This window comes from Homo sapiens, chromosome 8 (assembly GCF_000001405.40).
Source record: "Homo sapiens chromosome 8, GRCh38.p14 Primary Assembly".
Taxonomy (NCBI): Eukaryota; Metazoa; Chordata; class Mammalia; order Primates; family Hominidae; genus Homo; species Homo sapiens.
In genome coordinates, this window is record NC_000008.11 from 9,221,772 (window position 1) to 9,245,846 (window position 24,075).

The 24,075-nt window shown below is 41.9% G+C and overlaps 1 pseudogene; it reads left to right on the plus strand.

Annotated features, from left to right (window-relative positions):
- Positions 1-11,132: 11,132 nt before the first annotated feature.
- Positions 11,133-11,804, plus strand: LOC107986914 (ubiquitin-conjugating enzyme E2 variant 1-like; annotated as a pseudogene).
- The last annotated feature ends 12,271 nt before the right edge of the window (positions 11,805-24,075 follow it).

Consider the following 24,075-nt stretch of genomic DNA (forward strand, 5'->3'; position numbering starts at 1 on the left):
ATCACTGCAATGAGCATATCAGGAGGTACCACATTGAACCAAGAATTCTGGTAAATGACATTTTCTCCCTCTCCTTACACATCCAGTGATATTGAACATCTTATAGTTTGGATCCCTGGACACCTTCATGGCAGACTCACTCCTTACTCCAGCTCTGGATCTCAACAGTTCCCTCATCCCTCTCAGCCTTCTCCCTCACTCCTCAGAAGCTAACATTTGCCAAAGTCAATCTTGAAATGTTATGTTTAAAATTCAGCTCACTTCTCTAGATATAGCCTGATGAGGACACTACGGGTACCCTAGGCAGTTAATAAATAATAGTCATTAGTTAATAATTTTAGGTTCCTTCAAATGGATATGCTCTCAATATTTGTCTAACTGTGACTTGGGGTCAAGCAAGGAAGACTGGCTCGCAGCAGCTCTGGTCCTCTTCTCTACTGCTCTAATCAGTTCAGCTCTGGCCCAGTCCTGCACACCCTACTAGCAAACGTTAGTCCTACTATAGATAACTGCACCCACCTCCTTGTAAGCCATTTAATGACTCTCAATTATAACTCAAACTGTCCTCAGAGAGCTCAGCCTTCACTGCAATGAGCGTATCACAAAGTATCACATTCAACCAAGAATTCAAGAAAATGACATTCTTTTTCCTCTCTTTACACATCCAATGACATGGAGCATCTTATAGTTTGGATTTCTGGACACTTGCATGGTAGAGACACCCCTAAATCCCGCTCTGGCTCTGACCGATTATTTCCTGTGTTCTGAGTTGCTACATCAATTGCATCTGTTTAAAAAAATCCTATCACAGTGCAGCTCTTAGAAGAGTGTGCTTAACTTAAAAACAGATTTTTTTCCCCCCGACAGGAACTCCCAAGCCAGTCTTCCTCATTCTGTATTTACGTGATTGACTTTTGTGAGTCTAAATATAGAATTTTTCATTTAGCCTAGTTGCCTTTGACTCTGTAAGAGTCAACGGACCATTTTAATTTGTTAAAAACATTTTTAATTTTTATTCAAATATGTAAGTATAGGATAGTCTAGGCACTATTGCATTATATGATTGACAAAGACCTGGAGGTGGGAATTTATTTTTCATTTTGTTTTTGCTTTTGTTTTTTTGAGACAGAGTCTCACTCTGTCACCCAGGCTGGAGTGCAATGGTGCAAACTCGGCTTACTGCAACCTCCACCTCCTGGGTTCAAGCGATTCTCCTACCTCAGTCTCCCGAGTAGCTGGGACTACAGGCACCCACCACCATGTCTGGCTAATTTTTCACATTTTTAGTAGAGATGGGATTTCACCATGTTGACCAAACTGGTCTCTAACTCATGACCTCAAGTGAACCACCCACCTCGGCCTCCCAAAGAGATGAGATTACAGGCATGAGCCACCATGCCCGGCCAGGAGGTGGGAATTTAATCACTATCCCACATTAAGGAAGTGTCTGTGCAATCCAAATAATAGTCACTAGCCACTTAACGACTGTGATCACCTTAAGTGTAGCTAGTTCAAATAGAGATGTGCCGTAAGTATAAAGTACACATTGGATTTTAAAGACTGAGTGCAAAGAAAAAAGAATGTAAAATATCACATTAATAATTTTTGAAAAATACCGATGGTGTATTGAAATGATAATATGTTGGGTATATTGAGTTAAATAAAATCTATTATTAAAAATAATTTTACTTTTTCTTTTTACTTATGAAATGTAACTAGTAGAAAATTTAAAATTACACCTGTAGCTTACATTTCTGGTTCACATAATGTTTCTATTGGACAGCATTTCTCTAGAAGTTGAAGTGAGCCCTACCTTCCCTCTATTGCAATTGGATAATTAGAGCAAGCTTGCATTGGGCCAGAGGCAGTGGAAATTTTGACACAGGCCGAGGGTATTGGTATGTGGATGAATGTGGGAGGAGAAGGTAGTCTTGGGCAGCCAGAGAGCAGCATGATGCCAAGTGTGTAGGAGGCTTGAAAAAAGGGCAGGAGACTGGAGAAAATGTCTAGCAAAGCAGAGAGAGAACACTGAAATGGAACAGTTTTCTATAATTCCCATGTAATATGTTATCCCTGCTGATGTCTGGGTTGAATGTGGGTTTTTCCATAAGGCTCACACCACACCTTACTCCCGAGTCTTCCCCATTAGGAAAAGCTAGCCTGGTACCTCATTAACTAAGCCTGCCCATCCTTCACCAGCAGACGGAGGAAAGAGGGGATGGAGATGTCTGCCCTGTCCTCCTTTTAGCTCTTCTCCACTGAGACCCTACTCTTCTTTCAGCATTAATAAAATATTTACCAGAAAGTCCTTTGCTGTGGTACTGCCAGTTCCACAATTCCTGGTCCTCAAATATCATTTATTATGCAAACACAAAAGTAACATTTTTTCAAGATTGTTTTTCTGCCTTAACAGTATCTTTGGCTTTGATTTTGGAGGAGAGACCTTTTCATTGGGAGGCAGCTGGAGTCAGTCCCAGGCAGAGTCACCATTCAGTATTTGTGTGATGAATGCGCGTCTGAGCATGCTGTCCTTCTTACAAACAAAGACAGCAAAAAACGTAGCTAACGACTGGGAATGGTGGCTTACACCTGCAATCCCAGCACTTTGGGAGGCCAAGGGAGGAGGATCACTTGAGGCCAGGAGTATGAGACTAGCCTGGGCAGCATAGCAAGACCCCATCTCTTCAAAAAATAAAAATAAAAGAGGTTTTACATTGGGAGCATGAGGATAACGGTGGCTTTCAGACATTGTTTGTTAGTTGGGTGTGGTGGCACATAGCTGTAGTCCTAGCTACTAGGGATGCTGAGGAGTGGGGATTGCTTGATCCCAGAAGGCCGAGGCTGCAGTGAGCTACAGTTGCACCACTGCACCCCAGCGTGGGTGACAGAGCAAGATCCTATTTCTAAAACAAAATGAAGCAAAACAAAACACATAGCTAGCCACCAGTATCCGTAACTCTGTATTGCAGTGTTTTTTAACTAGACACCAGGAAGAAGATATGTATTGCATTTTTAATGTATGAAAGCAACCAGGTAGGCATTCACATTCAATGGCATGTTAATTCCCATGCAAACAGGAGGTGTTAGTCCCTTTCAAGATGGCAGCCATGAGAGTGGCAGAGGTTTTACACTGGCAGCCTAAGGATAAAGGTGGCTTTCAGACATAGTTTGTTTGGCTCTTGCAATGTTTTAAGAAATTAAGCCAGCCTTGGAAAATCAGAACATCTCACATAAACCTTCAGAGTTTGAGCTTCCCTTGAAATCTCACAAGATAACCCTGGGTCTGTGTTCCCCAGGGAAACAGGCTGGTGTGGAATAACAATAGCTGCATTATACTGGGCCTACCATCTCTGCTGCCAGATCCCTTGGCATGTGCACAGATACCACTAAATTCACATATTGAAGTTGTCTAGCCAGTTGATGAGTCATCTGTTGCCACTACCCCTTGATCTTCCTGACTGGAAAGCCAGTATAGAGTATACCCTCAAAAATGTGGCACAACGCAGGTTTTTTCATGATGGTTTTATTGCCAGGGAGGTAAAACAGTTGGGTGAAGGTGGAGATTCTGGAAGGGAATATTCATTAGGGTCCTGGATGCTGCATCCAGCTGGATATGTTTCCAAGAGGAGGAACGGAAAGAGGAGGAGGACAAAGCATGGAGCTGGGTGAGGAGAAGTCTCACTCACATTTCGAGTTCACTGTCATTTCCTTCCACTGCCTACCCAGGAGAGCTATGAACAAGGAAAGCTAGTTAGCGACTCGCCCAAAGCCATGCAATTATCTCAGCTTACTTACAATAGTAGACTTAACCATTTACAAGGATGTATTTTCCCTCTTACTAACAACAACAACAACAACAACAACAACAAGACAGGGTAGTGACAGCCTGAGGTCTGTGTGAGAGCAAATGGGTTGCACAAAGGCTCGCTGGCCTACCAGGTAGATGAAGGGGCACGTGGGTCTCAGAGTGATAAAGGGAAATCAGATCATGTGATCACACATTCCCAGGCCCAAAGAGCAGGTTAGTATTGCGCCATGTGTATTGCAGCCTGGGGCAGGAGAGTGAGAAAAGTCTTCCTCGCTTAAGAAGTCATCTCCTATGGCATCCCATATTCTTGGCTTTTATTTTAAAGTGACTAAATTTTTAAAAAAATAGTAGAAAAGGGACAGTAACCCAAACATGACAGCAAATTCTTTTTCAAAAGCAAATTGGATAAAAAGATACTGCTTGAGAAAAGACTTAATGGCCGGGGACGGTGGCTCACCCTTGTAATCCCAGCACTTTGGGAGGCTAAGGCAGGTGGATCACTTGAGTCCAGGAGTTCGAGATCAGCCTGGCCAATATGGTGAAACTCCATCTCTAGAAAAGACACAAAAATTATCTGTGCATAGGTTGTGCTTGTCTGTGGTCCCGATTACTCAGGAGGCTGAGGTGGGAGGATCACCTGAGCCCAGGTGGTCAAGGTTGCAGTGAGTCAAGATCATGCCACTGTACTCAAGCCTGGGTGACAGAATGAGACCCTGTCTAGAAAAAAAAAAAAAAAAAAAAAAGAAAGAAAAAGAAAAGACCTAAGTTTCCTTCACATTCCTGTGGTAGAATCTAGATAGCTTTTATAAACTTGAGTCCACTCTGGTTGCTGTTTTTGGCCTAGTTTCCTTTTGGACCAAGAAAAGAGTTTTGAAAGTCCCTCAGCCCATGGTGTGTTTTCTCTCCTGAGCAATTTCTAATTCAGGAGGCCAATTTTAGCCACACTGGGCAGTTTCGTGAAGGAGGGTCAGGTCTCACATGTTCTGTAATGACCAGTTTTTATTGAGGGCCAAATTGAACCCTTTTAAATTTCCATGCCCCTAGCCAAGATCTAGTTTCCCACTGACAGTAATCATAGTGTGAGCTGGTCATGAAGTCATATGTTTGTTTGCCTTTTTGTTTAGAGTAGGAATGGGACTGAAAGAAAGACCTGTTCAAAACTGAGAGATTGACTCAAATTTGACTTACATTTTATTACAAATGTGTTCAGTGCTTTTCTCCTGAATTTGAAATCTGATAAGTGCAAATCAGTGAAAAACAAACAAATGAAAATGGTGGTGCCTGACTCATTATGAGAACTATCCCAGTCCTTTCATTCTCGAAGTTTCTCTTCCCTGTTTTCCTTGTCCTAAGTCCAGTCCACAGGGATGGCTCCGAATTCACATCTCTCACTGAAGCCTTTGGTTCTGAAAGGATTGAATTTTTTTCTTTTGGGGCACTACACGGGCATTTGTATACCATAACCCCATGATAGCCTTTGCATTGCTCTGTAAGTTTCACGGTGTTGTGTATCTTTGGACTTGTGTATTGACAAAGACTCTCTCTTTGACCACACCCTAACCAGGCTCTTCTGAGCCTTCTTCTCTACTAGGCCTCAACTTTGGCCTATAGACTTGAACAAGCACTAACATAATTTTTGACAGTTCAAAGCCTCGTCCCTAGGATGACCCCAGCTCCCTTAGTGTGACTACCTGAGAAAACTCAAGGCTGTCAAAAGAATTTACTGTTGGTTGCAGCCATCACTTGAAGGTAGGGCCCCTGTTTCCCAGGCTCTATGGGAGGATGAAAGCCTAACTTCAATCAGAGTCAGTGAGCAAACCCAGCTGGGTTCATGTCCCCTCTTCCACTTTTCGTAATTTTTCACTTCCTTGACTCTATTGAGAAACCCCCTTGTCTCCTTCCCCAGTCCTTCATTCTCTTTTTAAAATGTCTGGTTAACTTTGCACAAATCAAAATTGAGGTCACTTCATGCTGGACTCTTTTCCCTATTGCAATAGTATACGACTGCTAAAAGCTGTCCTTGCCACTTTCGTTAGTGTCCGGCTTTATCTCCGACAGTATACATTGTCTGTCCAACTAAACTCCAAGCTCACTGAGTATATCATGCACCTTTTTGTGTTGGCCATGGCTCTCTGCACAGTGCTATGCACATGTAAGGTTCTCAGAAACAATCTACTCTGCTAGAGGAATGGCACAGCGATTGATATGGGGCATAGAATCTGCACAAATGGTGATTATCTTTGTTCTTGTTGTAGGATAAGTCAAGGAACTGGGAGATTCATTCAAACTAACTCACACTCATGACAGGTCTAAATCCACAACCAGGTCAGATCACATCCTCCCTGAGCTTGTATTTTGCGTTTTCTGGTCCTATGCTCCCTTAACTGTGCACCCCATACATACACACACTCAACACATCCATGCACATACACACTTGTGTGCACACACATGTGCACACATACACAGGCACATACTCATACACACATGAACAATACACATACATGCATACACATATGTATGTGTGGACATACACATAATACATGCACTTGCACATGTGTATATGCACATGCACACATGTGCACATATATACACACATACACACGTGTATACACAGATACATGCTCACACATGCACATGCACACACATGTACACACATGCACACATGATACATATACATGTGTGCACACATGAACATACGCACATACACACATGAACATACGCACACACACAGATATTGTAATTTCTCCTTCTGTTTTGTTTCTATATTTGCTCTCATTCTCATTTCTGGAAATATGCAATGTTATAAAAGCTAAACTCAGCACTAAAGTTCAAACGCACTGAGGCGATATTTCCCAGGAACCACAATTTTAGGGAGTGGATTATTAAGGTGAAAAAAATTATTTTTCAGTGTTTTAACTAAACAGATGTCTACAATTCAAGAGCACCAAGACTTCACACATTGTACAGACTGCTTTACCTTTTCAATGAATATAAAATTTGCAAGCATTTGAGGAGCCAAGAAAGGAGAGATCTTTTGGGAAGGGAAGGCCTATTACGCCATGCTCTTAGAGCATCCTAGGCTGTCTGGTGCATTCTGAACAATGGAGGCAATTGAAGAATTCAAATGAGTAGGTGATTCTTTACGTCTTTACAAGGCATCTCCTGGAAACCCGCAGCACTAGAGTTTCAGTGGGTCCTAAGACTTCCTTCCTCTGGCACAATCTTCCCATCATGATGGGCCGTGGTTCAAGATCTTTACACATGCCCAGGCAACTTTTGAATCTATTCTCAGTGTCTTTTTTTAAAAAAATAAATTTGATTTAAAGAGGAATTTTCACCTTCCCAGCACCACCACCTGTATCAGGGTTCTCTAGAGGGCCAGAATAGGATAGATGTGTATATATGAAGGGGAGTTTATTAAGGAGCATTGACTCACACCATCACAAGTTGACGTCCCACAATAGTCTGTCTGCAAGCTGAGGAGCAAGGAAGCCATTCTGAGTCCCAAAACCTCAAAAGTAGGGAAGCCGATAGTGCAGCCTTCGGTCTGTGGCCAACGCCCCGAGAGGCTCTAGCAAACCACTGGTGTAAATCCAAGAGTCCAAAAGCTGAAGAATTTGGAGTCTGATGTTCGAGGGCAGGAAGCATCCAGCACAGGAGAAAGATGAAGCCTGGAAGACTCAGCACGTCGGCTCCTTCCACCTTCTTCTGCCTGCTTTATTCTAGCTGTGCTGGCAGCTGATTAGATGCTGCCCACCCAGATTGAGGGTGGGTGTGCCTCTCCCAGTCCACTGACTCAAATGTTAATCTCCTTTGGCAACACCCTCACAGACACACCCAGAAATAATACTTTGCACCCTTCCATCCAATCTAGTTGGCACTCAATCTTAACTGTCACTCTACCGCATCCACACACACACACACACACACACACACACACACACACACATAACATCCACTATCACTTCAAAATGCCTTTTATGTACTGAATTGTGCCCCCCACCTCCAAATTCATACGTTGGCATCTTAACTCTCAGTACTTCAGAATGTGACTGTTTGGTGATAGGGCCTTTATAAAGGTAATTAATGTAAAGTGAGGTCATAAGTGTGGATCAAATCCAAACATGACTGATATCCTTGAGACGAGATTGGGACACAGACACACACAGAAGAAAGAATCCGTGAAGAAGCAATAAGACATGGCCATCTACATGCCGAGGAGAGAGGCTTCAGAGAAAACAACCCTGCAAGCACCTTGACCTTGGACTTCTAGCCTTCAGAAGGGAGAAAATCAGTTTCTGTTGTTCAAACCACCTAGTCTATGGTACTCTGGTATAACTGCCCCAGCAAACTGATACAGCTCCTCATCATTTTCTCGACACCTCTGAGAAAAATATTAATTTTGCAGGTAAAACCTACTCCATGAATGAGTATCCAAAGCTATAAGGCTAAATAGGGATTGTAAATGATCAGGTTTTAAAATACCTTACACAACACTTTTTTTTTTCCCATTCTACATTTGTAAAAATCATTTGAAACAATAAACTTTATTCCTGTGGAACTGCAGTTCTCAATCCCACCTTCATATTGCAGTCAGCTAGGGAGACTGGGGAAAGGCAGGCACTGATGTCTGGGCTCCATCTTCAGAGTTTCTGAATGATTGGCCTCTGTTGGGCACCACTACCCGAACCCAGCTGATTCTCATATGCAGCTACGGGTGAGAAAAATGGCTCTAAACAATCAGTTGATTAGAAAAACCCTGACAATTTAAAGTTTGCAAAGAGCATCATTCTGTATTATCATTTAAAAGACCTGGATTTGATAAAGCATGGTCTATTGCCCCACTGATACGAAATATATTTCTTACTCCAATGAGCTCTTTACCCTGTTCAGTCCTGCCGTTGTTAGGGAGTGGGTATAGCGTTATGTAGTGAGAACAGATACTGCTTAGCAATTTCATCACCGCTAACTGATGCAAGTTACAAAATGGCAGGGAGAGTTTTAGGGGGCATTTAAATCTCCTGGAGTTTCAGGGAAGCATCTATGCTGAGAAGAAACTGCATTCGGTTAGGGGTGTTCTGTATCCCACGTTATCCTAATTAGCAACTTAGCAACACAAGCCCTGTAGAGAACTGGCCTTATTTGGTGGCGCAGCATTGAGAGCCAGTTCTCCGGAATTTGGCAGCAAGTGAAAGCGCTATGGCTGCCAATTAGTTGGAGTTGCCTTCAACCCCTTGCTACTTAGCGGTGGCTTTTTAATTTGTGTTGGGTTTTCATTAAAGATTGATCTGACTCTGTGGATTTCTAATGTCCTTTTATTTGGTAAGTCAATCCTAGCCTGGCAGTATCACTTAACACAAAATGTTAATTAAAAAAAAAAAGGCTTCGCTGAAACTGACTTTCAAAACTCAGCTCTCTAGTTCCAGAAGAGAAAGAAAAAAAAAAATCCAAAAAATAAAAATAAAAAAGAAGATGGTGGAGTGAGATGCAAGACCCTCCCTCCAGGCTGTGAAAGATCCGAGGAGAGGAGAGGCGTGGCCAGAGGAGGAAGAGAATGAAAGGGCAAAAATCTTTAATGCTATCTTTTTTTCTACAATAGCTTTGGGGTTACTTTCTTGGGTCTTTTAGAAAAGCCACGTAAGCAAGAGGATAGTCTGGCTGGTGAAAAAGAAAAGAGATGTTACAATAGTACATTCAGGCTCCATTTTAATCTTCCAGGGTGGACGAAATTGCTTAACTGGCCTCTTGAATATTCTGATTGGCTAGGTATATGACCTTCCCAGCCAATCAGGTGGAGCCTCTCTGGGGCCACTGCAGATGACTTGGAAACAGATGCTCTTGATTGGCAAGGTTCCTACCGCCGCTATTCCAAGTCACGAGGCATCCCGACTGTAATTTCTGGCAGAAGCTAATAAGGAAAGTTCCTGCTAACAACCTCATTGATAACTTGCCTCGAGTGGGACCGTTGTTCCATCTGTTAGGGCCAAGGTTGTTTCGGCTGTGGCAAACTGGACGGCTTGGGGTTGATGATTTAAGAGGAGTTGTACCACCTGCCAACGTGGCAAAAGGCACACAGAAGTCAAAGACCCACAGCCTAATCCTCTAAGGGCTGGGTAGTGTTTTGTTTAATGTGGCTTATGTGCTTAGAACTTGAAAAGTCCTGCTCCCAGTGGTTCTATAGTGTGTGTTAATGCCAGCCTTACTATGAATGTTATATATGTAATATATGTGTGAGATTATTTATATATGTGTATTATATCACACAAATATATTATATTATATATGTGTATATACTCTCCCAGCCACCTGAAGGAGAGTATTACAGTATTGTGGAAAAATCAACAATATCGTCTTTTAATGACAGCCTCACTATATAATATATGCTCAAGATTATGTATGTGTATTTGATCACAGTAATATATATATGTTTTTGAAAAATCAGCAATAGTGTCTGTTAATGCCAGCCTTATTACTTGTGTGCCTGTGTGTGTGTATATACATATATACAACTTTTCAAATATATATATATATATATATATATATATAAAACAACTTGAAAAGTCTTGTTCCCATGGGTTCAACAATAGTGTCTAGTAAATACCAGGACAACTGGGATTCTGGGGAGAGGGGGTTAAAGGTGTCATGGTTACATTTCCTGGCTAACTCTTAATTTACTAGAAAATGCCTGTTAATGTCATCCTTCCTATGTATATATTTACGTAATATATATTTTATGTATACAACTCTATCTGTATATCTGTATCTATCTATCTATCTATCTATCTATCTATCTATCTATCTATCTATCATCTACCTATCTACCTACCTACTACCTCCGCCTTCTAAAGCATAGCTCAGTGAATGAAACTGAACCTTTGTTTGCTTAGCCAAGACCTTGTGGCTTTTTAGGTTAACTCTACTCATCGGCTCTTAGAACAGGAATAAAGACTGTCAAAAGTTGAAGGATAGAGACTGGAAGTTACTTTTTGTCCTAAAATACTGATGAAACTTTGTTTTCTAGTTATTTTTCTCTTCCTTCCAAAATGAGAATGCCACAAAACAAACAAAATATAAAGCTCAACCACAACCACAGGCAGTTGAGCAGCACAGCTGGGTGAGCTGTAGTAACTGGAGGATTTGCTGCATTTGTTTCTCTCCATGGGTTCTGTCATTTAGCTGCTGGATTGTCTTCTCATTTCTCATTTCTGCATGCTCCAAAGTGTGGACTCACACATGCTTATCTTAAAACAGAATCAAATTCTTGAAGAATTAATTTTGCCACCAGCCTATGACTTTTTTTCCCCCTAAAACAGTTGGGGAAAGAGGAAGTAGGAGTCCTTGTATCTCTTTTCATCTCTATGAACACTCACCCCACTGGTGACCTTACACACACTCACGGTTTTAAATACCATCTCCATGAATGCTGATGCAAGATGGCAGCCACTGCAGGCTCAGGAATAAAAGTGCCTTGAAATCTCTGACTGTTGCAAGAACTCAAAGAAGACCAGAAAGGAAGAAGTGATGGCACAGTTAGCTTGGGGTCTAGAAGATAATGAGGATATAATACAAGATGGACAAGGATAATCATTGGGCCTCCAAGTACAATTTATAAAAACCGAATATACAACCTTAAAATGGAATGTGAACCTAAATCCCCAGAAGCACCCCCAGTTTGTAAGATTTGTAACAAAATCAATATGAATATAATAGTGCTAATAGAATAGTGGGCCCAAGAGCCACATATCAGTGCTAGCAAAGTGGTAGAATTCATATTGCATTAGAGTTGTTCTGTAAGAGCTTTGGTGCCTAATGATATCTAAAGAAAATATGAAACTCTCTCAGTCACCTGAACGACAATATTACAGAAATTAAAAAGAAAAAAATATAGGTCTTCCCCTTCCCTCATTTGATTTCATCGGTCTTTGTTCTCCACAGTAGTAAGTTTTCTAGCTATGTCTTGTAGACCTCAAACTATAGAGAAGAAAGCTCTCATTCAAAGGCAATTTATCTTAAGATACTGTAAATGATATTAATTTTTGTCTATTTGAAATATATAAATTATACTATAACAAAAATTAAAATATATACATATGTGCATACATATATACCATTATAAAATTACTTTAGACAAATTACATTTATTTTATTTATTTTTTATTTTTTTGAGAGATGGGGATTTGCTCTGTTGCCCAGGCTAGAATGCAGTGGTATGATCATAGCTCACTGCATCCTCTACTTCCTGGGCTCAAGCAGTCCTCCTGCTTTGGCCTCCCAAAGTGCTGGTATTATAAGCATGAGCCACCATGTCTTGTCACAGATTAAATTTAATAGAGTTTACTTCAGCAGAGAACAATTCATGTATTGTTCTGTCTATACAATATAGCTGTATTTGAGTATTATATAATGAGTTATTTGCATTATTTGGATATGGTCCTATGGGAGGTCCCTAATTGTATCTCCAATAACCTGGTTGGCTGTTTGTGATTGGCTGAGGCTTTCATTATTAAATTTTAATTGTGTGAGTCATGTGCCAGGTACAATAATATAAAGCTCATTCGTTTGTTAAAAAATCTGGATTTGAGCTGTATTTCTGGCCCGTGGAACAACATTACCGATCTAGATGGCTAAAGTTTTCAATGAGTATTTGTGGAAAAAATACTTAAAAGTTCTCATTTGCCTTTTGTAAAGAGTCTTTTGGAAAGGCAGTCTTTGATTCGTTTAGTTTTTTAGAAGCCTCAGCATGCCAATTAAAAATCCATCCCATTGTTTTTGAGGCACTTTGGAATCTGCTTTTTTCTTCTAATGTGCCTTGCCAGTTTAAACTTCCCTGTTGTTAACACTGTAATTATGTTATCTTTAGTAAGGTTAACCTATTTATCCAAAAATACACAGGTTTTTGAACCATAAGTTTTGTACATAAATGTAGCTAGTGTCTCACAAAATGAAGTCCCAGACTCCTGGAATCTTAAAAGAACCTGTTTTCAGAAGCCACCTACCCAAGGCTCCTAACTGGATTCAGTAAAGTTAATTATCAGATCCAATCTGATTTTGAATCCAATCTGGCTAAATAATTATTCAAATAGAGTTACAGAGAGAGCTCAAAATGTAAACTTGCAGAGTTGGAAGCTAAGAAGGAACTCACCCATGACCTTCAGTTGTAATGAAAGAGCAGTGGGCACAGTGAGCCTGGTGTGTACCTTTGCTTCATCACTCACTGCTCCTGAGAGTTGCATAAGGGTTCCTTCAGATCTCACTTATGACACCAAATTGTTAAAAGAAAAACTTTAGACAAATTTAACAGATTTTATTTGAGCAAAGAATGATTCATAAGTTGGGCAGTGATCAGAACTTAAAGAGATTCAGGGAGCTTCACTCCAGCAGCATGAGCAGCAAGCTTTTATAGACTGAACACAGAGGCAAAATTACCTGATTGGCTATAGATAAGTGTTTGCCTTATTTGAGTATGGTCTGATGTGAGGTCTCTAGTTATATAACCAATTGGCTAGTTGGCTGCTTGCAATTGGCTGAGGCTCATTTTGTTTTAAAGTCAATTACAAGAAATGTTTTCAAGTTAAGTTCTGGTTTGCTTATATAAGAGCTCTGGTTACCAAGACAACCTCCAGCTAATGGCTTCCTTCTTATTTGTTTTAACAATACATACACAACAAAATAAAACAGTTATGACAAGTGCCAAGTGAGTAATTTAGATAATCATATGAGCAGACTTAAGAAGGGGAAGACCAGGAAGGGCCAATGTGGTCATAAATGGCACTGTAAGATACAGCTTGAACTCAACCTTAAAAGAAGAGGAAGGTGTCAGATAAGTACAGAAAGAGTGGAAGAGCATATTAGGTGAGAGCTTTGCCTCCTTCACTAACTTTGCAGATAAGACTTCCAGCTCTGCAGATGCAGAAGCCACAGGCATGCTCTGACTCGTGCCTCAGCCTCTGCCTTTGGCTTATAGCCTTCACCTACCCTCAAGAAAAATGTTCCTCCATCTTCCAAGAGTCCTGGTCACCTCCAGACTATGGATTGTTTCTGTTGTCAACTTATAACCACAAGGAATGCTGACGTTTTCCTAGTGCTGGCCTCTTGGCATGAGTGTACATGAGGAAATGGGGAGTCTAATTTACACAACGAGTGTGCACAACACAGAACTATTAATCCAGAGGTTTTTATCTCTATAATGAGGTAACGATAGCTTGCTTATTTATTTATTTATTAATTTATTTATTTTGAGACAGGGTCTCGTTCTGTCATCCAGGCTAGAGTGCAGTGGCGCAATCACAGCTCATTACAACCTCCACCTCCGGGGCTCAGGCTGTCTTCCCACCTCAGCCTCCCAAGTAACTGGACTACAGGCGCATGCCACGACACTTGGCTAATTTTTGTATTTTCATAGAGATGGAGTTCCACCATGTTGCCCAGGCTGGCCTTGAACTCCTGAGCTCAAGCAGTCCACCTGCCTTGGCCTCCTAAAGTGCCTGGATTACAGGCGTGAGCCACTGCACCAGCATGATAGCTCATTTAAAGGCATTTCTGAATAGTGAGTACTTCAATTATATATTAAAATTTACAGACTGATGAAAGTCCAGTGTTTTTAAACACCAAAGCTCAAAAACCTATTGGGTGCATCACTTGTAAAACTGTGTTATAATACAGATGTATCCTCAGGGTAACTGAGGCTAGTCAGACAGTGAGTTGTTCACTCAATGCTCTGTGAGCCTTATGGGTTTCTTAGTTGTGTCTGTTTTAATATCTCTTTCTTTCTTTCTTTCTTTCTTTCTTTCTTTCTTTCTTTCTTTCTTTCTTTCTTTTCTTTCTTTCTTTTTCTCTCTTTCTTTCTTTCTTTCTTTCTTTCTCTCTCTCTCTTTCTTTCTTTCCTTTCTTCCTTTTTTTTTTTGTCTGCAACATCACTTTCAGCCAATGGGGTTTCATTTTTCATTCTCAGCTTTTGTTTCTGACTCTCTGTGGACTGGGAATCCAGATGAAGTTAACTTATTCTAATTGTTATTTTTAAAAAACAAAGGCTTCAATATACGGTCTTAGGAACTCTCCTCTGGGTTTTCCACTTTTCATCTTTGTTTTCCACTCTCCTCATGTATGCTAGCCACTTGGAGACCCTTTTTGTTACTTCCTGATATTTACCTGTATTCAAGATGAGTCAGGTTGTCAGGCTGCTAATTTCTGGACATGTGAGTTATTTCTGTAGTTTTGCTCCAATATACCACCAAAAATAAGATAGATCCTTTACTCTGCCAGTGCCATCTTCAGTGGCAGGTGTCAACTGACAGATTTGAATAGACAATTTATATGTGTATTATTTGAAACCTAGAGCATTTCCTGTAGTTAGCTCTCTCCTCTACAATGTTTTGCAAACATTACAAGAAGAACGGACCCATCTCAAAAGGTAACCGGAAGGTAACTTGAAGCTGTTATTTGCTTGTGGGGAGATGGGGCTGTGGTCAGGCAATGGAAGTGGTGGATAGCTGGATAGATGGATAGCTGGATGCTCAGGGCTTTCTGCAGCAGCACTGGGAGAAGCTCTAGCATTGAGGACGGAGTGGAGCCCAAGAGGGACATTGGAAAGCCCTCCATCAAAGGTAGATGAGACCTCCATGATAACAGGACATTAGTATAGAGACTGGTTTGGTGGAAGAAGTTGCCACTGCTGAGGTGCCAATTAAAAGAGGCTGTTGTGTCCTGGAGAAAGGACGAACAAGGGTACGCTTGTGCCCACTGTTGATTTTCTGTGGCACCCCAGCACAGAGAACAGCTGAGCTTAATGCCAGATTTCCCTCCTGCTGAATTCAGCCAGCTTTGAAAATGAGCAGGGGAGACAAAGAAGTGCAGACCTGCATCATAGAGATTCATGCTAGTCGTCTTCACCATTGTCACTATGGAGTATTACCTCCCAGTGATTTTTGGCCTTGCACACAGAAGCACTGTTTCTGTGCAAAGGGTAAGTAAGGGGGAGGCATGGTTTCTGCCTGCGTAGGGCTCACGTAAGGGGACAGTCACACTGCCATGGATTCTCTGCCAATACAGCAATCATAAGGTCGTTGACAAAAAGTCTATTGTTCATATGCTTTGTGATTTAATTGCTAAAGACCAACACCTAAATTATCAGTTAGCATCACAATAAACTATTGTAATGAGAAGACCCCAAAAATGCAATGACTCAGGTAAGATAGAAGTTGATTCCTTTCTTACCTAACAGTCCTGGGTGGTGCGCCTGATCAGCAGGAGGGTTTGTCCACGCAGTGACTCAGGGACCCAGGTTGCTTCCTGCTTGTTTATTCTCTATTCTCTAAACCATTTGTCTTGCCTGTCTAGGTGTCATGCCCAGATAGCCAGCCAGCAGGAAAAAAAAGGGAAGAACGTGAGGGGCATGCTTGCAAAGTGTGACAGACTTGTCTAGAAGTAGCACCCTTCTCATCCATTGGCCAGAATGTGGTCACGTGACCACCATCCACTCCATGGGGTCCTGGAGATGTGGTGCCTGCCTGGGCTGCACATCAGCCACACTTCTCTCACTGTGGAAGGTCAGTAGGTTTTGGTGAACTGGCATCATATGGGGCTTCACTTTACATTTTGATCTGGTGTCTTCTTCAGTTTTCCAGTTTTTTTAAAAAAATCTAACAATAAGTTTGTAGAATTCAATAATTTCCAATCCCTTTTTAGTAGTTGCATTGTTAACTTTGTTTAGTCTTCTGAAACCTCTTTTATTTGCTTCTTTAAGCCCCTCCCTCTGCCTCTAGTTTTTGAAAGAGAAAACATACTTTCTTCCTTTAGTTGGAATGAATGAGGATTCTTGGAAGAATTTTCCACCATTTCTTAAGAATGGTAGGTGTTGCAAATTCAGGTTTGAAAACTTGGATAAGAAAAGAGTAACCTATGGAAAGGGCAAGCATTTTAGAGGCTGGGGAGGAGGGAGATTGGGAGGGGAGAGGAGAGGACAGTGAAAATACACAAACCCTCCACAAAACAGGAGCGCTACAGGAATATGAGTTTTTAAATTCTTCATTGTTTCTTTTCGTCACATTGTAGCTGACTCTTCTTTTGCCCCAAAGACAGGGCACTGGCTGGTTAATTATAAAAAGTGGTTCCCAACACAAATCCAGCAGAAGGGCTGTGGGAAAAAACTGCTTTAGTTGAGGGTTAGACCCACCAGCTTCCACTAAACATCCATTAACATCATGACAGATGTTTAACAAGGATAAGATGAACCTGGGAGACTCCTTCCCTACAATCCAAATCTCCCCCAGCTTTGGAATTTCAGTCAGAGAAAATAGACTTAAAAAGACAGTTAACCAAAAATGTTTAAATTCTGAGGTGACAGAGGCTTTCTTACTCTTTTCCTTTTTTCTGAGCTCTGACCTTATGGGATGAAAGATATCACATTTGGAAACAATAAGTCCTGCATCCCTAAAGATTCTCTTTCTTCTCTGGTGGCTCTTAGAAACCTTTGGGCTATTTGAATCTTACAATTTCTCTCTCTCTCTCTCTCTCTCTCTCTCTCTCTCTCTCTCTCTCAGTCAGGGTCTTGCTCTGCCACCAGGTGAATTCCAAGGGATCCTCCCACCTAAGCCTCCTGAGTAGCTGGGACTACAGGCGCTTACCACCATGCCAGGCTTTCTTTTTTAAAAAAAAAAAAAAAAAAATGCTTCATAGAGACAGAGTCTTGTCATGTTGCCCAGATTGGTCTCGAACTCCTGGGTCAAGCAATCCACTTGCCTTGGCCTCCCAAATTGCTGGGATTACAGACATGAGGCACTGCACCTGGCCAACTGAATCTTCCAATTAACCCCTGTTAATTGTACTACTAATTAATTGTATAATTGTACAATTAAGAAATGTAGTTCTTCAGTTTAGGGATAGACCCACCAGCTTCCACGAAACATCCATTGTACAATTGTACAATTAAGAAATGGTGGAATATTAATGGGTTAATTGAACAATTAACAAGGGTTAATTGTAAGATCCAAAATGTAATCAACCAGGGAGATTTTTCAATGGAAATGTACAGTTTCATGGGAACTGATTTTCACTCATTTTCCTTTTTAATATAATACAATTGAATAGTGCCATTCACACCTCTCATAACATACACTCCCTTGAATAGATCCAAATAGCCATTTGCCATTTAGCAAATGTTTTCCCTGATCCTGTGCTTTGCTTTTGTTACATTTAAAGTACACTCCCCACTTGCTGCAAAAAGTGTGACTGCGATTCAAACTCAGCCCTCTTGGCTCATTTATGAGGGAAGCTTTGCCATAAAAGATGAATTGCAAAGTAATAGCTGAGGGGAGCCATAACAGTCAATGCAGTTACCCTTTGGTACATTTTTGGGCTAATGATATTTAAATCAATGTGACTGAAAAAGAAAAATAAAGGTCAAACCAAATACCAAAGAATGAATAGCCTACTGCAAGATTACTAGACTCATAAACAGTTCCTTGTTCTCTAAGATTGCTCTGAGAACCATGTCAATACACCAGTCTCGTGGTAATTAAAGAATTTAAAAAGCCAATACTTATTTTGTCAAGGGCACTAATGCAAGTTCAACTTGGTCTATGAACAAATTAACACAAAGTTCTGATTGTGTGCAAACTGGGGCAGTTAGCAATTATTCTTAGTATTTCTATAACAAACTTTCTTCTGAAAAACTCAAAATGCTAGAGAATCATAAAACTTCGAAGGCATCTGAGAAACTACTGATACCTTTGTTTTACAAATTCGGAAGCTGTAGCCCACAAAAGTGACTTGTTCATGGTCACACTGCTAGCCTGTGCATCTTGAGTAGCCCAGTGATCTTTAATAGTGTATCTTGATGTTCTCGTCTTAGGTATCACCCCAGTTCTTTCCTCTCCATTCTATTGTAAAGCAGCTCCTCCTCAAAAATACTATGAAGTTTGAAGAACAAAAAAGTCTTACATGTTCTATATTATAATGTAAGTAAATGTTGACTAGAAATCCCCTTGTCTTTTTTTTGAGACAGTGTCTCACTCTGTCACCCAGGCTGGAGTGCAGTGGCTCAGTCACGGCTGCCTGCACCCTCAACATCCTGGGCTCAGGTCATCCCCCTGCTTCAGCTTCCTGACTGGCTGGGACTACAGGCACATGTCACTATGCCCAGCTAAATTTTTTTTTTTTTTTTTTTTGTAGAGATGGGGTTTCCTGAGGTTGCCAAGTCTCGTCTTGAACTTCTGAGCTCAAGTGATCCTCCCACTTTGGCATCCCAAAGTGCTAGAATTACAGGTGGGAGCCGCTGTGCCCAACCTCCTCTTGGCTTTATCGTATAAAGCCTGTATAGAACCAAACAGGGTATATGATCAGGCCTTTCAGTGAGGCCAGATTGGAGCAGTAGCAGCTTGATAAGGTCCCAAAAGGTACTAAATGAAAAAGAGACAATCTAACATTAGTGGCCTCAGAATGCAGGGACACCTATAGCCTAGACAAGAATAAAATAAACCAAGAAAAAACACAACTGGAATTCCTTTTAATAAGAAAGCCAGTCCCATATCAGAAGCCAGACAATAGAGATGGAAGAAATTGAATTCCAAAGACAGACAAATGGAGAAAGACACAAATAAAATGGGGAGGGGTTGACCTCAAAGATGACTAACTAGAGTTATAAGGCTGGGGGTTGCAGGTAGACACAGGATTGCAAGCAGGTTGGATAAATGGGGTGGGCCAGCTGGTCTACCTTCTAACCCCAGGGCGATGTAGCGCCTAGTGGAAAAATCTTGGTCACAAAGTCAAGTCCCAACTGTAACCATGATTTGCCTCATTCATTCATTCATTCACTCATTGACTCACTCACTCATCTAATATTTATGAACAACCACTGTGCACCAGGCACTGTACTGGAAGATAAGCCATGGAATGAGGTAGATGTAGCTCCTGGCTGGGTGCAGGGGATATAGCTCCTGGCTGGGCACAGGGGTCACGCCTGTAATCCCAGCACTTTGGGAGGCCAAGGCAGGTGGATCACTGAGGTCAGGAGTTCTCGACCAGCCTGGCCAACATGGTGAAACCCCGTCTCCACTAAAAATACAAAAATTAGCCAGGCATGATGGCACATGCCTGTAATCCCAGCTACTCAGGAGGCTAAGGCAGGAGAATTGCTTGAACCTGGGAGGCAGGGGTTGCAGTGAGCTGAGATCGTGCCATTGAACTCTGCACTCCAGCTTCGGTGACAGAATGACACTCCATTTGAAAAAAAAAAAAAAGAAAGAAAGATGTAGCTCCTGTCTTCACAGGCCTCACAGTCTATTAGGGAGATAGACATCGAACAAGTCATTATACACATCTTTCTTTATCTTTGTAGCCAAAGTTAAGAAAGGAAAGCATAGCATACAATGAGAATTCAAAAAAGAATTCTAATTAGCATCTAACTTAGGTTGGAGACAAAGGAGGAACTGTGATATTGGTTTTTAAAATGGAAACAAATACCAAATGGAAGGTGATTAACTTGCATTTAACATCCATAGATACACAAACTGTTATTAATTAACAGCAGACAAAAATGTGCCCCCGAACTGGTCATCTCTCTAGAAATCCAGTGATGGAGGTAAGAGAAAGGGATTCCACTGGGGAAGCCAGGAACACAGGAGAACCAGAACCCCATGCTGCTGGACAATGAACAAAGACAAGGTTCTGTCTCGCTTTCACTTACTCTGGAGCTGAGACCATGTCCTAGAATAAAATAGGTTGCTGAACACTAGAAAGGCTGCAGTGCAGCATGAAGCAGTGTCTGTCTGACCTCAGCACCCTGTTCTGATTCCTGATCTGCGTTTGGTTCCTATGTTACTGAGGACCACTGTGTACCCTACTTTCTTAATACTCAGCCCCAGGGACCCAGTCTCTCTGTACCTCTCCCAGACTTCCAGGTGTTTCTCCCCTATGTGCTGGGATCTTTGCTGGTAAATATCTGGACTGAAGAAAGTCTGGGATCTTACTCATAACAAACACACAGACTGATGCTGTGGTTTTTGACTTATCTTTGGACTTGTGCACCCATGGTCAAATCTTAAAGCTTAGCAGAATTCCCAAGGATCCCTGCACTTGTTGGGTCAGAGGCAAGAACAGCAGGCCCTACACTAAACTGGATTCCTTAGAGTCTATGACTCAGGGCCAGGCACAGTGGCTCATACCTGTAATCCCAGCACTTTGAGGGGCCGAGGCATGTGGATCATGTGAGGTCAGGAGTTTGAGAGTAGCCTGGCCAACGTGGTGAAATGCCATCTCTACTAAAAAAATACAAAAAAAAAAAAATAGTTGGGCATGGTGACATGCACCTGTAATCCCAGCTACTCAGGAGGCTGAGCCAGGAGAATTGCTTGAACCTGGGAGGCGGAGGTTGCAGTGAGCTGAGATCATGCCACTGCACTGCAGCATGGGCGACAGAGTGCAGAATCTGTCTTTAAAAAAAAAAAAAAAAAATCTATGACTCTGTGTGCCTTGGGCCACTGTCACCAAGCCCTGACCCTAGAACAAGGTCTTGATGTGGTCTCAGCTACTAGCTAATGTTGCAACATCAGAACTTGATGTATGTGGAGCCAACTCTGTGGCACCAAAACCTCCCAAAATATTCCCTGACTCTGACATACCCATGCATGAAAGGGAAGGCTGGAGGCCGATGTCGAAAAACAACTGCGGAATTTCATTTGACAGTAAACACTGCAAAAGGTATCTATGTCACATGGTTGCCCAATGCCTTGAGTTAAATAGAGAATGGAGAGGTTATAACCCCACACTGTCTGTTGTGATAGCGATCCCCACACTATCAGATCATATCTGGAGTACTGCATGTCATTCTGAGCACAGCATTTTAAAAAGGATTTAGACAAACTAGAAAGAGTAACCAGATGAGTGATAGGGCTGGAGATCATTCCCGTGAGAGCTGACGCTGAAGGAAATAGGAAGACTGACAGCTGCTTCCCAATGTGGAAAGGGCTACGGCTGGACCATTAGACTCGCTCTAAATTGTCACAAGGGCCAACAATAAGCAAAAGGGAGATAGATTTTTTTTAAATTAGTGTAAGTGGGCTTTTTCTAATAGTCTAATTCTAGTGGACTTGTGCAGACACCATAGGCCACGGCAGGTGTTTGAGAAGGGGAAGATGGTATTGAAATCAAGCCAGAGTTAGCAGCTATGAGTACCACTGGGGCTTGGGTGGTGATTCTGAAAAAGAAAAAGACTAGTTCTCATTTTTCTCAAGCTAGATATGGACAAGGTTCCTGGGCCCCTTCCCTCAAGTCTACCCAAAGAGGCATATAGTCAGCTCCTGCTCAGTTGAAGCCTTGGCTGAAAGGAGAAGTAACTGGTCATTTAGGGGGACCCTCTGACCCACCACTGGTAGAGTCAAGACTTAGTGTGGCTTTGCAGATAACTGTGAATGTGCAAATTTTGTCCTGGTGATACTGATAGCAATGATGCTACTATTTATGAAGGGCCTACTGTGCACCAGGTACCTTGCTAAATATAGTATGTATAATAGCTCATGAAATCCTTATACCTGTCCTATGGAACAGCTACTATAGTCTTCATTTTCCACTGGAGGAAGCAGAAATTTAGAGAACTTAAGTTTCTTGCAAGGCCACTGAGCTGCTGCATGGGGGTCGCCTGAGCCTGAGCTCTCAGCATGCTGGCTTTCAGCGCACCTCCACTGGGGATCCCATCCACCTCTCCTAGCTGAAGTGCTTCCCAGGCCAGCTCCATCCTGTTCTTGGGCTCCCAACGCCCAAGAAGGCATTGTGGCATGGTAGAAAGAACCTGAGAATTAGAATCGGACAGGCCTGGGTTTAAAGCCCAACTCACCACTTACAGCCGTGTGATCTTGGGCAAATCACATGGTCTCTTTAGCCGTCCATTTCTTCATCTATAAAATACCTACTTCTTTTCTATAGCAGATTCACATATTTTTTCCCTGGGGCAAGTTCTGAAGTAACCAAGTAAGCAAAAAACAAAGATAAGTAAGCGTGTCCTTAATAAATCCATTTGAGGGGTACACTTGGAACCCCCATATATGTCAGGCAACTTTCTCTACTGGGGTGGCAGATGTGATTGAGGCAGGCAAGGTCCCTGCTCTTATAGAGCCTGGCATCTGGTGCAGGGTTCCAGTCAGCACACATCAGTGGGTATTAAGCACTATTCAAAGACCTACATGGTAATAGGAAATGACAAGGAAAGTCTTCTCCCAGGAGGTGACATTTCAGCCGAGATCTGAGTGACAAGAAGGAGCCTCAGGCAAAGATGGAAGGAAAAAAGATCATCCAGGCAGAGGGAAGAGCTAGGATAAGCTCCTGCGGAGAGAATAAGCCAGGACAAAGCAGCCCCAGGGAGACTGGCCCGGGATGGAGCCAAGCAGGCAGGGAATTATAGATGCTTTGGGGTTTGTTTTCCAAGTGTGTTGGGAGAGTTCTGAGCAAGGACACTTCATGATCTGAATTCCCTTTTCGAGTTCTCTCATTCTCTTTTCGTGTTCTATGGGGAGCATGGATTGCAGGCTGGTAGTGGGGGAAGCAGGGAGGCCAGCTAGGAGGTTTTGCAGCAGTGCAGGCCGGAGATGCTGGAAGCTTGGCCTCCTTTGTGGTGGGGTTGAGGTTGGGAAGTTGCAGCAGATTCAGTTCATGCTTTGTAGGGGGCATTGACAGGGACAGCTGGTGGGTTGGACACAGGTTGTGGGGAAAATAAGAATCAATAATAACTCAAGGATAACCATTATTTGCAACTAGTTCAACATAGCTAGTCTTGTTTTGTTTTGTTTTCTCCAGTGCTGGTAATGTTTCTTTAGTTGAACATCAAATGAAATAGCGGTCTTCCATTTGAGGGCTGTATTGCATAGGGGAAAATGTGTATCTCTAAACACTGGACTCATTCTCAGCCTGGAAAGATACTCATACGATGAGAGACATGCAGAACATAAGGCCAGTGAGTTCGTGCTTCCCTTGTTTCACTCACTGGGGGGCATACACTCATTTGGTGGGATAGTAGGGATAGTAGATAAATTTAAGACTGTGCTCATCTTTTTCTTCCATATCGAATTCAGATCAGTTAATTGTGTCCATACAGTGACTTCACAATAATAGGACCATACATTATGTTAGATCATCTTTGCATTAGAATTTCTAGTTTGCGTTTTGTTAAGATGTGCTGTCTGTTCATCTCATATGCGCAGTGAGGATAACACCTTCATCCTAGTGTGTTTCTTAGGAGATGACATAAGGGTTCACACAGTGCTGGCCTCTTGGGAAAATCC